This window comes from Homo sapiens, chromosome 5 (genome assembly GCF_000001405.40).
Source record: "Homo sapiens chromosome 5, GRCh38.p14 Primary Assembly".
Taxonomy (NCBI): domain Eukaryota; kingdom Metazoa; phylum Chordata; class Mammalia; order Primates; family Hominidae; genus Homo; species Homo sapiens.
This window is the reverse complement of record NC_000005.10, coordinates 14,369,643-14,386,383: the sequence shown is the minus strand read 5'-3', so window position 1 is coordinate 14,386,383 and position 16,741 is coordinate 14,369,643. Positions and strand designations below refer to the sequence as shown.

At 41.7% G+C, this 16,741-nt stretch overlaps 1 protein-coding gene across 11 annotated transcripts in view; it reads right to left on the bottom strand.

Moving 5' to 3' along the window:
- The window catches only part of TRIO (trio Rho guanine nucleotide exchange factor), a 366,863-nt gene that overhangs the window by 123,821 nt on the left and 226,301 nt on the right, over positions 1–16,741 (bottom strand). For all 11 annotated transcript variants that reach the window (NR_134469.2, XM_047417679.1, NM_007118.4 and 8 more), the window contains 3 exons: positions 12,041–12,155; positions 8,257–8,372; positions 5,132–5,254 (listed from right to left, as the gene is read on the bottom strand). Coding sequence is in view for 10 of the 11 variants with exons in the window: in XM_047417679.1 (XP_047273635.1) it covers positions 5,132–5,254; positions 8,257–8,372; positions 12,041–12,155 (354 nt within the window). In the remaining variant the exon portion in view is untranslated. The remainder of the gene's footprint in view (positions 1–5,131; positions 5,255–8,256; positions 8,373–12,040; positions 12,156–16,741) is intronic.

The following is a 16,741-nucleotide window of genomic DNA, read 5'->3' as shown; positions in this document are numbered from 1 at the left end:
TCAAGATCCTCCAGACTCTACACAAATAACCCCAACACTCCAGCCAGCCCCTAGCCACCCAACAGCACCCCCGTCCCCCAGCTGTGGCTCACCAACTCACCCCTCCAGGCCAGCACCCTCCTTGGGGCCTCTGCACTGGTGCTCCTGCCTGGAAAGCCACTCCCCCAGATATCCCTATGGCTCCTTCATGTCTCTACTCAAATAAACGCCACTCTCTTAGCGGGCCCTCCCTGGACCCCCTTAAACTGCAGCTTGCCTCCCTGCCTATTCTTCTGCTCTGCTGCTTCCCATAGCATGTATGGCCTTCTGACAGAGGGTGCAAGTGATTTTTTACAATCGTCGTCTGTCCTTCTCCTGTGAGAACGTCACCTTCACAGCCCAGAAATCTTTGCTTGTTTCACTAACATCTCTTACATTGCCACAAGGGCCATCTGTGGAGGGCACTGTAAACTACCTGTATGTCTATCTTTAAGGGGTTAAGAAAGCTATTGAGTGTTTTAAGTGATGGGGACACAGAAGTGAAGATAAAAAGATAATGCAGCTTGCCAAAATTAAACAAGAATTATTGAGCAACTGAATGGTGTGATAAAAACTAAGTACCATAAATCTGCTAACCTATGAACTTTAAAAATATCTCAGTATATTTTTACTTGCATTGGTATTTTTAAAATACATTTACAGGATTCAAAATTCCAAAGATAAAAAAGATACAAAGTAAAAACTCTTCTCACCCCACCTTCCACTGTCACCAGTTCCAATCACCAGCTTCTTGCTATCACTTCAGAGACATTTTATGTGCATGTACAAGCAAGTGCGCAAATGTATATAAGTATTTTTCTCTCTCATATTTCTTACACGTGTACTTGCATACAACACACACTGCTCTGTATTAGCATTTTCTACTGAACACATCCTAGTTGTCCTTCCTGATCAGAACTAAAGTCCTCGCCTGTGTTTAGGTAGAGCTGGGTAATATTTCACTATATGGATGTGAACTGTGTGGATGCACGTAAGTTAACGTCTCTCCACCAATAGGTCTCCGTGTTGTTTCCAAATTCCGTCTACCACGGCAACAATGCAAGAAATCCATCAGTTGCATGAACGGTGGTTAGACACGTGCCTGAGTGCTGCTGCCGTAACACACATTGTGAGACCTGGAACTGCTGGGGCAGACAGGAAGTGCAGTGTGAGCAGGCAGGAGTGCGAGGGGGCAGGAAGATGCCACCGGAGGCCTCTGAGGGGCTGCCCTGCTCCACTCCCCCAGCAACGGAGCCTCGTCCACGCAGCATGGGGTCCACCTTTTTGATCTCGGCTAATCCACTGGGTGAAATGAACTCAGTGTGGTTTTGATGTACGCTTTTCTTATATTAAGTAAAGTTGATGATCTCATGGTGAAGGCCATTTATTCCCTTGCTATGACACATGTTTAATATCTTTTGTCCATTTTCTTGGTCTTTTTTTTCCTTATTGATTTGTAAAAGTTCTTTCTTACTGGCAAATCAGTCCTTTGTGATATGAGCTGCCTATATATCTTCTCTATTTCATTTTTAACTTTAGATGTTCCTTATGGTGGACTGTCTTGTGTAAAGTTTTACATTTTTTTGTGTAGGTGAATTTATTAACCTTTTCTTTCATGGTTTGGATTTTGTGTCATTTAGACAAATTTCTCCATACGAGGATATAAAAAATATCCTGTTATTTCTTCTGGTACTATTAGGTACCACTGCTGATATTTAAATCTTCTTCTGGTATTTATCTCGGTATCAAGGTGAGATATAAATCCAACTTAATTTTTTTTCCAAAGCCATTTACCTTGGAAAACATCATTAAAAAAAATTCTTACATCTTTTAAAGTGAGATATTATAAGGATTTTCATTCTTATTCTATTTGTTATCTCTAGAGATCGTTACAGTGCTTAAAAAGCACATAAACATTTTAACTGAACAACTTCATCTGTAGGCATAATCGAGGAACTGGAGAAAAATAAAAGCAAATTGAAGTCTTAAGTCCACAAGCTCAAGAGAGCTTTGCTCATCATTTTCTTAGACAGAAATTCAATGGTGTTAGACACTTTCTAACAAAGTAAGGCATTTGGCATTGCGGACGCTGGTGATCAGGACCACAGGAAGCCCTATGGGAAGAAGGCTGTGGCGTCAGTAAGGCAATGGCTTCCGGACCTCAGTGTGTGCAAAAATCAAGTGGTGAGCTGTTCAAATGCTCATCCGCAGGCCTCACTCCAAGAGAGCCTACGTCACTAGGTTTGGAGTGAGGACAGAAATCTCTCTTAAATAAACACCCACAACCTGGATGCAGGTGGTGCCTGCAAGACCCGTGGAGAAATGACTGCACTGAGAGCTGCAAAGGGACCGAGCCGAGTCTCAGCGAGCCGGGGATGGGAGACTCTTGTTTAGCCTTCCAGCTTCATTTCCATCAACACTAAAAATGTTATAACATTGTAACAAGTGCACTGAAAGACTTTCCTTTCAGAGCTAAGAATTCTCTATACAGTAAAAGCAAAATGGTTTCTTAGAAGATTCTAAGATCGGGTGACAGAAGGCAAGTGAGGGAGCCTCAGCTCATGATGAAAAATCAAAGGACATCTCCAAACACCAAAGCAGGTGTTTTCTGATTAAGGGAAAGGCAGTCAGAAACCAAAGAAAAAGATTGCTAAGAAAAGGAAAGGTGAGGGGTGTTCTTTTCAAAATCTACCAGTTCCTCCTGGTATAACCAATTCAATAAACCCAACAAAAGAAACAGTTCTACATATCTGAGGATCAGAAAGGTCATATATCACTCACAATTTTAGACATTTCTTATAAAATACAAGAATAAAAATAAGCCTGTCATTGCCCAATCTTTCAATAACCACACATCAAACTTGAGGAAAAGGAGTATTCAGGAATGGAAAAATTCTTTCATATACACTTTATTAGTGGAGCAGGCCACCATGTTACTCAATTCCAAATAGTCATGTGTACATCACATCCCCCATGCATGGCCCCTGGAGCTGGGCAGTGAGCAGGCTGTCTGGCCATACACAATGGCCTGCAGAGTGGAGCAGAGGTGAAAGATGGCAAATCTTAAATCTAGCTTTGAGTGTGGTATGTGATGTTAGGCATTTTCTTAATACCTTTATAATCAAACAATATTCAAATAAGCAGACATAGCTTGGGACTTTAGGCGCACACACCACCATGCCCAACTAATTAAAAAAAATTCTTTTTGTAGAGACAGGATCTTGTCATCTTGCCCAAGCTGGTCTCAAACTCCTGGCCTCAAGCGATCCTCCCACCTCAGCCTCCCTTGAGCTCAGGAGTTTGAAGACGATCCCTTGAGCTCAGAAGTTTGAGGATGCACTGAGCCATTATGGTGCCACTGCATTCCAGCCTGGGTAACAGAGCAAGTTCCCATGTCTAACACACACACAGACACACACACACCCCTAAATACGGATCATATAATGTGCATAACTATTATGTATTCCAGCCTGGGTAACAGAGCAAGATCCCATGTCTCACACACACACAGACACACACACGCCCCTAAATACAGATCATATAATGTGCATAACTATTATGTATTCCAGCCTGGGTAACAGAGCAAGATCCCATGTCTAACACACACACAGACACACACACGCCCCTAAATACGGATCATATAATGTGCATAACTATTATGTAATATCTAAATATTAACAAAAAGTGAAAACTGTCCAGCCAGGTGTGTATGTGGAGGAGGAAAAGCCATGATCCCTCCCTGCAGGGGAGGGTGGGGCGGCCCTCCTTAGAGCTCATTGTGCCTCTGGGGGCAGCTACTGTCCCCTGGTCCTGCGCCCTGCCCTCCCCCAGTGCTCACCACACCCCCACCCTGGGCCGGGTCTTCTTGCTGCGCCCCCCATGCCTGGTCTCTCTGCAGCCCTGCTTGCCTGTGTGAGCCTCCAGGATAGGAGCCGTGGAAAAGGAGAGAGCCCAGCACCTCAGGGCCGAGGGAAAGGAGAGCTTTGGGGACCAGGAGCAGAGAGTGGCAAAGAAGAGCAGGAGGAGTCAGTAACAGTAACAGAAAACATAAACATGGACAAATAAATATAATACAAAGTAGCTGTCCTCTCTCTACATGATTGAAAAATTCCTGTTATGTTTTCAAAGCCAGGGTAGGGGCCACAGGAGATAACCAATCTTGCTACTTTATAGAAACACTTCTTTTTAACCAAAAATATTATCCCACTTATCATTTATTTCCCACTCTTATACATTTGAAATAATTGTCAGATTTTTCCAAAAACTCGAAATCTGTCATCAACAATAGAGGCACTTCAGAAAATACTACAAAGGACGTATACTCAGACTCTGAAAAACAACAACCCCACAGGTTGTAATGGTGACTTGAAAAGAGCCTCAAAACTGTTGTGAGTTCTTGGAAGGACTCAGCCTCTGCAGGTATAAGCCTTAATTGGGACAACATTCAGGTCAATATGCAGATTCTTATATTTTTCCTCAAAAAGCCATATTTACTCACACATATGGCATATGCCATAAAGATAATTCGATTTCATAATTTTATTTTTATTTTCAGGAGAAAAATGAAAATGCCTCAAGTTTTAGACACCTCTGAACAAGCACTAACAGAGGCGATGACACAGACTCTGCCAACCATAAAACACAGACAACTGCAGACTAAACTGAGCGTGAGCAACACGACTGTAACAGTTTTCACCATCTAAAGACGGTGAAACACCCCCAGGTGTAGGAAAGAAAACACCCCAAGAATACATAAAGGTCAACTTGGGGACACCAAATAGTGTTTCATAAAAATAGCAAGTCCTCAGAAAACATCTTAGAGAAGTAAACAGGAAGGGGAAAGTGTAGAAGGGAATAATGGGAAGGACAAGGAAGAAAAGGAGAGAGATGGCCGTATTCACAGACATCAGAGGGACAAAGGACACAGATGAAGGGAGGAGGTGGAGGACACGGAGGGACACACGTGAACGGAAGGAGGAAGCATCCTCCAGTTAATGTGGAACAGCCCACTGGGTCATCCTTTTCTCCAATCTCATGAGGTATTTCTTTATGATATTTTTGAAGACTCGCTTTCGACTTAGAGGCCACTATACAAAGTACACTCTGAACCCACCTTTGCAGTTATCTGGAACTCCTCGTGCTCTTTCAGGAGCTCCTGGGTGTGCTGTATACTGGAGCCCGTGGAGGTGTGTGTGGAAAGGTAGAACTCGCCATTGTCATGGATCCATTCCAAAGCCTGGAAGGGGAAGGAATGAATGGAGTCAGAGGGCTACACATTCCTGAGAGGAGCCCAAAGCCCCGAGCACCTCATTTAAAGGTCAAATCACAAACCAAGGCTGGCAGCATCGAGAAGCATTCCCTCCCAGAGAGGCAAGTTTCTTAAATAAAACTGAAGTGTGACCACAATTACAAAATTTTTAAAAAGGATATTCTAGATGGTTATAACAGTATCACTTATGTCGCAACAATAAAAAGTTTGAGTTTCTTAGTATTCCATGGTGTATATGTGCCACATTTTCTTTATCCAGTCTATTGCTGATGGGCATTTGGGTTGGTTCCAAGTCTTTGCTATTGTGAATAGTGTTTCAATAAACATACGTGTGCATGAGTTTATAGTAGAATGATTTATAATTCTTTGGGTATATACCCAATAATGGGATTGCTAGGTCAAATGGTATTTCTGGTTCTAGATCTTTGAGGAACTGCCATACTGTCGTAATGAACTAATTTACACTCCCACAAAAAAAACAAAAAATAGTTTGAGTTTCTTGTAACCATGAACCTAAAGGCATAATAAAAGTACAATGAAAGAAACCACTACTATGAGCCTTTTCAGGAAGGGACTAGAGTGCAGAGAGAGGGGAGTCAGCCGCCCTGGGGAGCGCCCTGGAGCAGAGGGGCAAGGGGACATGGCCAGGGCAGCAGTGGGAAGCGGGATGGGATACGACAGGATGGGGCTGAGAAACCCAGAGGTCTGCGCCTCCTGGACCTGGTGCAGGAGCGAGGGAGGAGCGAGGAGCGAGGAGCGAAGGAGGAGGCGGGGCGCGAAGGAGGAGGCGGGGCGCGAAGGAGGAGGCGGGGCGCGAAGGAGGAGGCGGGGCGCCGGGAAGAGGGAACTGAGAACACCACACCTAGTTGTTTCTAACAACACGTAAGACAAGAGGGACACGGAGACAGGGAACCGAGAGTGCAGTTCTGCTTCTCATAAAGTCACTGTGGAGTGATGTCAAGGATGTAACTGGGATTTGTGAATCCGGAGACCAGAAATGGAGGCCTGGGCTGGGAGACAGCGCACAGAAAAGACAGAAGAGGAAAGAGAGATAAGAACAAGCCAAAAATGAGCGCCAAGAAAGGCAATGACTAGAGTGGGAGATAGGAAGGAGAGCAGTGAGGCCTGGGGTGGGTGGCCAGCAGGCGGGAGGGGCCTGCGCCAAGGCAAGATCAGCAAGAGCCCTGGAGGCCGGTCTGCGAAAGCACTGGGTATGTGCTGCATATTGTGACAGTGAACAGAAGCAGAACGGCTGGAAGGCAGATGGGGCACCACCTGCAACAGCACGCACTTCAGGATTTTATTTTCGGTGAATAAGCGGACTTTAGGAAAATGCAACAATACATTCCATTATCTTTCTCTGCCAACAAAATTATGTACAATTTTGCTTTTCTATAGCTGAGGGATTGTCTTTCAAGAGAGATAATAAAGTTATGTGAGAAAAGAACCTGAAACCATCTCTAATTAGAAATCTAACCAGGCCTCCGATGATCTTGAATATGGTTAAACTGTCTAATAAATGTTAAGAGAGTATAATTTACTAAACGTGACTGCATGCCACCTGGCTGTTGGGAACATGCTGGCTACACCTGGAACGTCACCAGGAGGAGAGAAGGACCAAGGTGGGGCGCCAGATCCCTGGCCTAGGAACCCAGTTCATCTAACTCTGGGAACTGAGCAGTTCTGAGCATGGGCTGCGTCCTTCTAGACTTACATTTTTCAGATTGGAACAAGAGCTGTTCCTTAAGTGGGAAACCTCTGCTAAGAAAGTTAATTTTTCTTCAGCTAAAAAGCATGTATCCAATGCCTGCTCTGGATCAGCTGCATATGAGGTTGCAAGCTGGATTCAGAAAATGGGTCCGTGTCGTGGTCAGAATGTGGGTCAACACCAACTGTCATCACAGAATTGCCCTGGGGGACTTTAAGGCACCCAGACCAGGGCTGGGCCACACACAGACGCTGGGGGAATCACCTTCTCCCCTGTGCTTCCCTCCAGACCCCCCAAATTCTGGATGAAAGTTTACGGATTCTTAAGCAACCATTAAGGCAAAACAGAAGTGACAGGAATCTTAATATTTAAGACGGGGTCAGATTTTTACAATAAAATGATCTTCGTCCATGACTGATGATACAGGCAGAAGCACTTCATCCCAAAATGACTTAAGAAGGGGATACTCCAAATGTACCCCCTTGATACATCAACACTTTTTGACTATACTAAATTATTAGAAATTCTGGGCCAGGTGCGGTGGCTCATGCCTGTAATCCCAGCACTTTGGGAGGTCAAGGTAGGCAGATCACCTGAGGTCAGGAGTTCGAGACCAGGCTGGCCAACATGGTGAAACCTCATCTCCACTGAAAATATAAAAATTACCCAGGCGTGGTGGTGGACGCCTGTAATCACAGCTACTTGGGAGGCTGAGGCAGGAGAATCACTTGAACCTGGGAGACAGAGGTTGCAGTAAGCTGAGACCGTGCCATTGCACTCCAGCCTGGACAACAAGAGCAAAACTCTGTCTCAAAAAAAAAAAAGAAACAGAAAAAGAAAGATATTCTGTCACATTTCCTACTTAATTTTAACTTGATTAATCGGAAAAATAAAAACTTTGTCTTGAAAATATAAATACATCAATATAAAAAAAAATCCATCATATTTACCTAAGTACAGAACCAAGATTCCCCAATAATTTTTAAATAATCCTTGTCATTATTACTTGTACTTTGCTGTCTTAGAGATGAGGTAAAGACAGTAGGGGAAGGCACACTTGCTGAGGGTCAAAATCACTGAGTGACATGCTTTTACCAGGCTGTGGGGTTTTCTTTTTATAACAAACTTAACTAGAAGGCTATACTGTTTGTCATTAGAAAGTGGTTTTCAAGATGGCGGAAATGTCAAGCTCAGCCTCTCTGTGGAGACAGGTGTGAGCACGGGAGTTTAGGGGGAGGCTGGGCACCAGGTGTGCACTGACCTGCTTGGCACTCCTCTCAAAGACCACGTACTGCTGACACTGGTCCAGCCGTCTCTTCCTCATGGTCCAGTAATGCAATACCCTGTTCTCCCGTTGGAAGAGTTCATTCAAGATATCTGAGAGAAAAAAGAAAATGATGTATGTTGGTGCTTGCAATCAATTAAAACAACCGCGAAATTCCATTCATTTTTATTTAGACTTTTATGCAAATGCCATTGCAAGACAGCACGATAAATAAAGAATCACACTGCTTTCCTGTCTCAGTGAGCATGTCTACCAGACCTCTTCTCACTCTCACCTCCATTTGACCATCTTACGATAAAGACACCACTGGAAATTTAACGTCAGTCTGTAATACCTCCGGCTGGATGGATTCGTGGGATATGTGTATTTTGTAATATGAATTCGACATAATGCACAATTTTATAATATGCAATTCGACAATGGCTGAAAAAAAATCAGCATTTTTTTCAAGACTATTAAAACCTTGTGTAGATGGACTTTTATACAGATTAAAGGTTGTGTCAAAATAGTGGAGTAATAATCAACAAGGGTGGATTAAAAAAAAAGAAAAACCAAGCTGGGCGCGGTGGCTCACGCCTGTAATCCCAGTACTTTGGGAGGCTGAGGCGGATGGGTGGATCACCTGAGGTCAGGAGTCTGAGACCAGCCTGGCCAACATAGCGAAACTCTGTCTCTACTAAAAATACAAAAATTAGCAGGGCATGGTGGCAGGTGCCTGTAGTCCCAGCTACTTGGGAGGCTGAGGCAGGAGACTTCCTTGAACCTGGGAGGCAGAGGCTGCAGTGAGCCAAGATCATGTCATTGCACTCCAGCCTAGGCGACAGGGCAAGACTCCGTCTAAAAAAAAAAACAAAAAAAAATACAAAACCATAACCCCTTAGGAGAGGAAAGGACATGAAGTGGGGAAGCAGAGAAGCATGAAGCTATAAAGGCAAGAAAAAAAAAAACAAACCTCATGACACAAACATTTAAAATGTCATAACCAAACAAGAACCACCAAAAACTGGTGCACAGACAAAAAATTTTTAAGCATTGGGAACATATGACATAGAATAGTCAACAGAAAAACGATGAACAATTCTTTAGAAGAATGAGTAAAGCCTATAAATACGAAGTTCACAATTTAAAAAATACAGTCACTAAATATACAGGAACACATTTAACCTCAAACAATGAGACCATCTTTCACTGCTTTCCTGCTAGACGGGTAAGATCCAGTGTTGGAAAGAGTAAGGGAACAGGTAATCATGATCCTCTATTATGGAGGGAGAAAAACTGAGTATGATGACCCCAGGGAATGACACTGAAAAGGTGCATGCATTCCTTTGAACTGGGAATTTAACTTTCAGATGAACAGTGCTTACACAACTATTCAAAACTGTTTGTACAAAGATGTTGGAACACTGAAGCGCTGGTTAGAACAGTGGAAAATAGGCAGCAATGTATGACCCATCAATTGAGAGACAGGTCAAATTAACTTCAAAAATGCTATACTGGGTATTAAAAAGAACAGCAGATCTTTAAATTCTGACACAGAAAGATGACTAAGATATATTATTAAGTGAAAGATGCAAGTTGCAAGGTAATATAGTCCCATTTTTGTAACAAATTAAAAAGTGGGATGGGTGAGTGAAATATATGTTTGTATTTCTCTACATATTTACATTTACATGCACAGACAGGTTGCACAAAAGCCTTGACAGTGGTTACCAGTAGCTAAGGAATTAGCTAACATATGTATTTGTACACTTTTTGAGTTTTTGACACTAAGTCTGTTTTGCTCTAGAAGTTTATGAAACAAACAAAAAACTTAAGAAAAAAATTCCCAAGACTGAAACTGCAAATCAAATAAAGGGTTCCCGGTAACTTTATTACACTGGAAAACCATTAATATAGGAAGTTTTCCACAAATACTTACTGAGTTCCTAGCAGTCTGTACTTTGTGATAAGTAAGAACAGAAGAGCAGCATTTACATCCAGCCTAACAACAGACTCTCTCAATACTACCTCCAAAATGAACCCCAAATTTATTGACTTTTCTCCATCTCTACCATTATCACCCTAAATACCACCATATTCTTATGGTGACAATATGGTGTCATCATTTTTGATGACAATAAAAAATGCCTTTAGACACTGCCAACTATCCCCCAGGGACCAGTGGTCATGCTGTTATTTTTACTCCACTGAAGAGGTAAACTAGCACAGTGAGATAAATTAAAACTTTGAAATCTGAAGTCTGCTAAAAAATTAAGCTATCACTTACATGAAAATATTGCACATGAAAATGAATATGAGATAACGCATTTTTTCTAGTCTCCTATTTCCACAGTCTCTGCCTGAGCCAGTACTAATTTCGGGCAAGTGAGCAGCAAACAGTGCTAAGCGCCCTCTTGGATACGGGGCTTCCTCAAGCTCCTGGGGGTCCTCTGACCACGTGGTCTGAGACTCCTCCTTGCCTGTGCCTTGGGGTTAGACTGTCTTTTCTGCCACCATTACTCTTACAGGAACTTAGTGCACTGACTCGAGCATAAATAAACCTTTCACCCCCAAGTAGGCTCTGAGGGAAACAGAACACTTCTATTTTAATTCTTCACAGCATCCAACATTAGGATATACAACAGCAAAGGCATAATGAAGATCTAACGAGGGAATAAACGAAACACAGTCTCCCTCTCACACAAAAACGTGTGTCAAACTAGCGCAACCTAAAAAGGACCACAATATCTTCAATCAGAAAAGACAGGACACAACCAACAAATGAAAGCAATATTGAGAGATGGGTGAACTTATTTCTACAGGAAATGAGCCAAATAAACCAATTATCAATGCAAATAACTTGCTGGCCCAGAAGACTTATTCATGCAGAAAAACGGTTGCTTTTGTGAGTTGCACATTTTTCCAGAAGAAAAAGCCCATCAATAAATATGTTTTACTGAAAGAACTTAGAGAATTATAGTGGTGTAACAAAATTATTTTGTGACAACTAACAGATGAATCAGATGAGCAGACAGTAGAATGTAATGTACAAAGTTTTTGCCAATCATATTGTTTTGAAAAGTGTGAGATGAATCATTTGCTAACTGATTATCACAATTTTTTTTCCTATAAAACTAAACTTAGGCTGTGTATCCCTGGTCAAAGTTACTTGCTTTGTGCCTTAGTTTCTTTATCCATTTTCCTTCCACATCAATCCTATTACAATTTAGTATACGTTTTCCCAGACCTTTTTCTAAACACTTACACACACACACACAAACACGGTTTTACAGGTTTTTACACTCAAATGATATAACCTATATATTATTATTTTTCAATTTGTTTTTATTAACTATGCCTTAGGTATACAAAATTAATAATACTTTATAGTGATAAAATTGGGATGTATTTTCTCTATTTGAGCTTTTAAAAATCCTTTGCCTATAGATAACTCTGGTTTTCCCTTTCCCCCTATTTATTTTTTACTTACTTTAACAAAATAGCCAATGTCAGTAAATATCATCCTGAATTTGCATTTTCTCCCTGTTTATATTCTTCAACTTATTCAATAAATTATCAACCTATTCAATATAATATCAACCTATAAATTTGTTTAATCTTTTTATTATTAAACTAAGATCATTAGTAAGGACTTCATTAACATGAAACGGACATTTAAAATGAAACTGAAGTTGAGAGTTCAGAACACAACGTGCAGGCTCCTTTTGTCTCTTGCCAGGCATGCACTGGGCCACCCCTGGAGACTCCCAGCTCTACTCACTTTTCACTTGCTGTTCAGGAGCTTTGATGTGCGTCACCATTCCTGGCATGTTCACGCTGTTCCTGTGCAGGTATTTCAGGAAGACGTCTGCATTCCTCCGAGCAAGGGTGCAAGCCTAAAAAACAATGGAGAGCAATGTGTTGCTAATTTGACTTCTACAAACGTGTATTTGGAGTACACATCACTGCACTCTAACGTATGTCTTTACCTAAAATATTTATCTGGCCACCTGCTGGTTTAGAAAATGCATAGGATAAAATCTAATTCAATTAAAAAAAAATCTCTCTCTCCTGAAGCCCTCGCTCTGATGACACCTGCTGCTACATTCTGCCCTATAGAGAGGCCCATGGGGCAGGAAACAGAGGGCAGCCCCTGGCTTACGGTCACGGAGGAAGGGAAGCCCTGTCTCCGTCCAGTCTAGAGAGGTTTGCACACCTGGCCTGACCCTGGATCACAGCCTAAGGAGTGACCTTGAGCTGCAGAACTCAGCTGGGCTGTGCCTGGATTTCTACGTAGGGTAGACAGTAAACACTTTCAGTTTTGGGGGGTCATACAGTCTGTTTCTCCGTCACAACTACTCAAACAAACAACAGATGAAAGCAGCCACAGGTGACAGGTAAACTGTATCAATGTGGCCCAACTTAGCCCTCAGTTCAGAACTTGCCAACCCTGGTTGAAACTTTGTTATGTGATGTTATTATGGTAACTGACAATATGTGTTTATGTTTATGCAGCAGGATAAACCAAACCAGTTTCATTCACATATTTTAAAATAAGGGTTTTAGATAAAAGAATACAAATATAAAATCAAAGAAGGTAAGGAAAAAACCCTTTAATTATATGTGAATTGGAAACATCTTGTGCATTTCCTGTCTTGGGTCTGGAATTAATCTTTTCTTCAAGGAGCTCTATCTCCTTCTAGTGTTAAATGGTATTTAGAGCCCACAGTCTAGTCATTCGGGATGGTCAGGGCTTTGGGGTTGGTCACTGTTTCCAGACTTTTTCAGTAGATGGAGCGAGGCTACCTTTTTTTCAATTAAGAGAAAAACACATCATGAGTCTCTACTGATTCGTGTGAAATTTCGAGTTGTCTGATATGGCCTGGCTCTGTGTTCCCACCCAAATGTCATCTTGAATTGTAATCCGAATTGTAATCTCCACATGTCAGCGGTAGAAACCTCGTGGGAGGTGACTGAATCATGGGGGTGGTCCCCCATGCTGTTCTCGTGCAGCAACTGAGCTCTCACAAGATGTGATGGTTTTGTGAGGGGCTTTTCCCTGCCTCACCCTGTACTTCTCTCATTCTTCTACTTCCCGCGCCATGTGAAGAAGGACGTGTTTGCTTCCCCTTCTGCAGTGACTGTAAGTTTTCTGAGGCCTCCCCTGTCCTATGGAACTGTGAGTCAACTAAACCTCTTTCTTTTATAAATTACCCATTCTCAGGTATTTCTTCACAGCGCATGAGAATGGACTAATACGCTGTCAAACCAAACAACAAGGAAGACGCTGAAGACTACGAGGGTGATGGCTAAGGACAGCTAAGCAACCTGCCTTGAAAGGGCTCCTATGGATAGGATGAGCTGCGTGTTAAAAGATAAATGACAGTGACTGCTTTGAAACACACCAAATATATTTAAATCCATGATGATACTAAAAAAAAGTCATATGTAGAAGTTGCTATAGCAACAATTCATTATCCTGAAAATGGCAAATAAAAAGGATCAAGCAAGCATTTACTCTGCCTTTTCTGGACAAACTCTACTTTAGAATAACCAAATAGCTGAGAGGGAATAATTCTAGCTAATCGAGGCCAAAGGAAATGATAGAATTAGAGTATTACCATTTTGCAATTCCTAAAAAACAGTTATTACCACTGGGTACTAACACCATTAGCTGAAAGGCTGATGGGAAGTACAGAGGGATGAACTGCACTGACCGTACTTGAACCACTGATCAATCTTCTTACCAATCACAGAGACAAAAGAGAGAACTAGACATTATGTGTCTCCTGAGTAATCCCATAGGAAGTACAAGCACCACTGGCAAGGTTTTCCAAGCTCGCCTGCACTCTCTCTCTCTCTCTCTCTCTCACACCCCCGCCTCTCTTTCTTCCCCCACCATCGCCCCCCCTCCGCCTTTCAAACCAGCTCTGATCAAGGCTCACAACCTAACAAAAATCTACAAATTGTGGATGGTGCTAAATGACCCCACAGGATGTAATTACCAATCTGGAATGGGGGAAATGCCTCAATCCGAGGAACGTATTTCTTCAATTAATAAATAGTAATGAAAGGAGGGAGTATTGTTTAGATTAAAAGTGATTCAAAAGACATACCCAACCAAATCAATATGTGGACCCTGTTTGAATTTTAATTAAAACCATGTATAAAAAGACATTTATAGGCCAGGTGTGGAGGCTCACACCTGTAATCCCAATATTTTGGGAGGCCAAGGTGGGAGGATCACTTGAGCCCAGGAGTTTGAGACCAGGCTGGGCAACATAAGGAGACTCCATTACTACAAAAAAATACAAAAATTAGCCAGGTGTGGTGGCAAGTGCCTGTAGTCCTAGCTCCTAGGGGGGCGGAGGTGGGATGATCACTTAAGCCCAGGAGTCTAAAGCTGCAGTGAACTATGATCACACCAGTGCACTCCAGCTTGGTTGACAAGGCAAGACCCTGTCTCAAAAAAAAAAAAAAAACATTTACAGAACAATCAAAAAAATTTTAACAATGCTGGATTTCAGATAATATTAAAGAATTACTATAATTTTAAAGATATGATAATGGTATTTTATTTGTATTTCTGAAAGGGAGAATTTAATGTTTAAATTCACAAATAAAATGATATATCTAGAATTTTAAATAATCCACTGAAGGTAGATATATGCCCATACATTGATAATCAGAAAAGTTGGGTAAGGAGTAAAATAGGAGGAGAATCCATTCTCTCTCCTTTTGTACATATCTTCAAATTCCCATAATAAAAAGGTACTTAAATATCCTATACACAAACACCACAAAATTCTAGTTGAACAAAGGGATCCAAAAAGGCTTGTGATTACAGATGCTCCTTGACTTATCCTGATAAACCCATTGTAAGTCAAAAAAATCGTAAGTCAAAAATGAGTTTATTGCACCTAATCTACTCAACATCACAGTTTAACTTAGCCTAGTTACCTTAAAAGTGCTCAATTTAAGCCTACAGTTACCCTGGCCTGCAGTTGGGCAAAATCATCTAAAACAAAACCTATTTTATAATCCCATGTAATTCATTGAATGCTGCACTGAAAGTGAAAATCAATGGTTGTATAGCATTTGATGTACAGGTTCTACTCAATGCACAGCGCACTGACACCAACAAGTCCAAAAATCACAAGTCAAACCATCGTAACTTGAGGACCGCCTGTATTTTTGTTTTGTAATTTTACCTAAATAGCTATCTTAATTATATGAACTAAGTGGCATTCATTTTTCTTTCATACTAAACAGATCCTGGACAAAGGGGAAAATTCTAATGATTCCACCTCGAAATCCTAACAGCGGTCAGCATTTGGTAAACTTAAGCAGTAGGGACATGTTGGGGGCAGGGGCTTTAAAAAGCTGTTGACGTAGTTATAACTAATGACCGTGGAAACTGTGATGGTTTTTTCACCCCGGGAGCTTGCTTAAAAAGAAAATCACTGTGGTGGGAGCACAAAGTAAGTTACCAGATATAATTTCCAAAGAGTTACAATTTATCCTCCCAGACTAAACAATAACTCTGTCAGATGACGGACTTCAGAAAAAAACACAGAAAGTGTTAAGTGTAACAGGAAAGTGGTCAGAGAGGTGAGAACGCTGAAGCAATGAGAAGGTAAGGAGGAAAAGTGACCACCACCCCTACTTTTAATGGGTCTGGGTGGTGATAACAAGCAGAGCCTCAGAAATTCTGTAAGGGCCCAAGAATGCAACACAGAACATTCAGCACCAAATGTTGCTAAATGTTTCAACTACTTTGAAAAATTTAACTGTTCCAAAGCACGTCTGTGACTATGTATGACTAAATGTGACATTTATAAAAATATGACAGAGCACTGTAGTCCCAGCTACTAGAGAGGCTGAAGCGGGAGGACCGCTTAAGCCCAGGAAGTTCAAGTCTTCAGAGAGTTGTGACTGCACTACTGCACTCCAGCCTGGGTGACAGAGTGAGACCCCTTCGCTGAATTAAAAAAAAAAAAAGAAAGAAAGAAAGAAAGAAAAGAAAAAGCAGTCTTGAAAAATTCCTCATTAAAGCTTCTCAGAGAGAAAACTCCCAGCCTGGTCTGCATGTGACACATTTCTCTTGTCGGAAGCATTTCCTGAGTAGGTATCAGCAACTGCCACCACAAGCCGTGTGGCGCTCGCACTGTGTCTACTCCATGCCGTGCTTACACCTCTTCTGAGATGCAATCTTCATTCCCTATGAAGGGAATGAGGAGGCTGAGTCTCCAAAGGAAGATTATTTTAAGCTATAGGTATTGTTTTTCACCAAATTAATCAATCACTCAATCACTCTGTCTCCAGCATCACCTGGTATTGTGACTTCCAACCAATCCTTACTCATACAGATTTTTAGCTATTTCCCTGTGAAAACTAGAAAGACAAGGCAATCGCACATGAAAAGGATTTTAAGGTTTTCTTTCTTCAGCTGACTTCTCACTGATGCGACACTGCCCCGTTA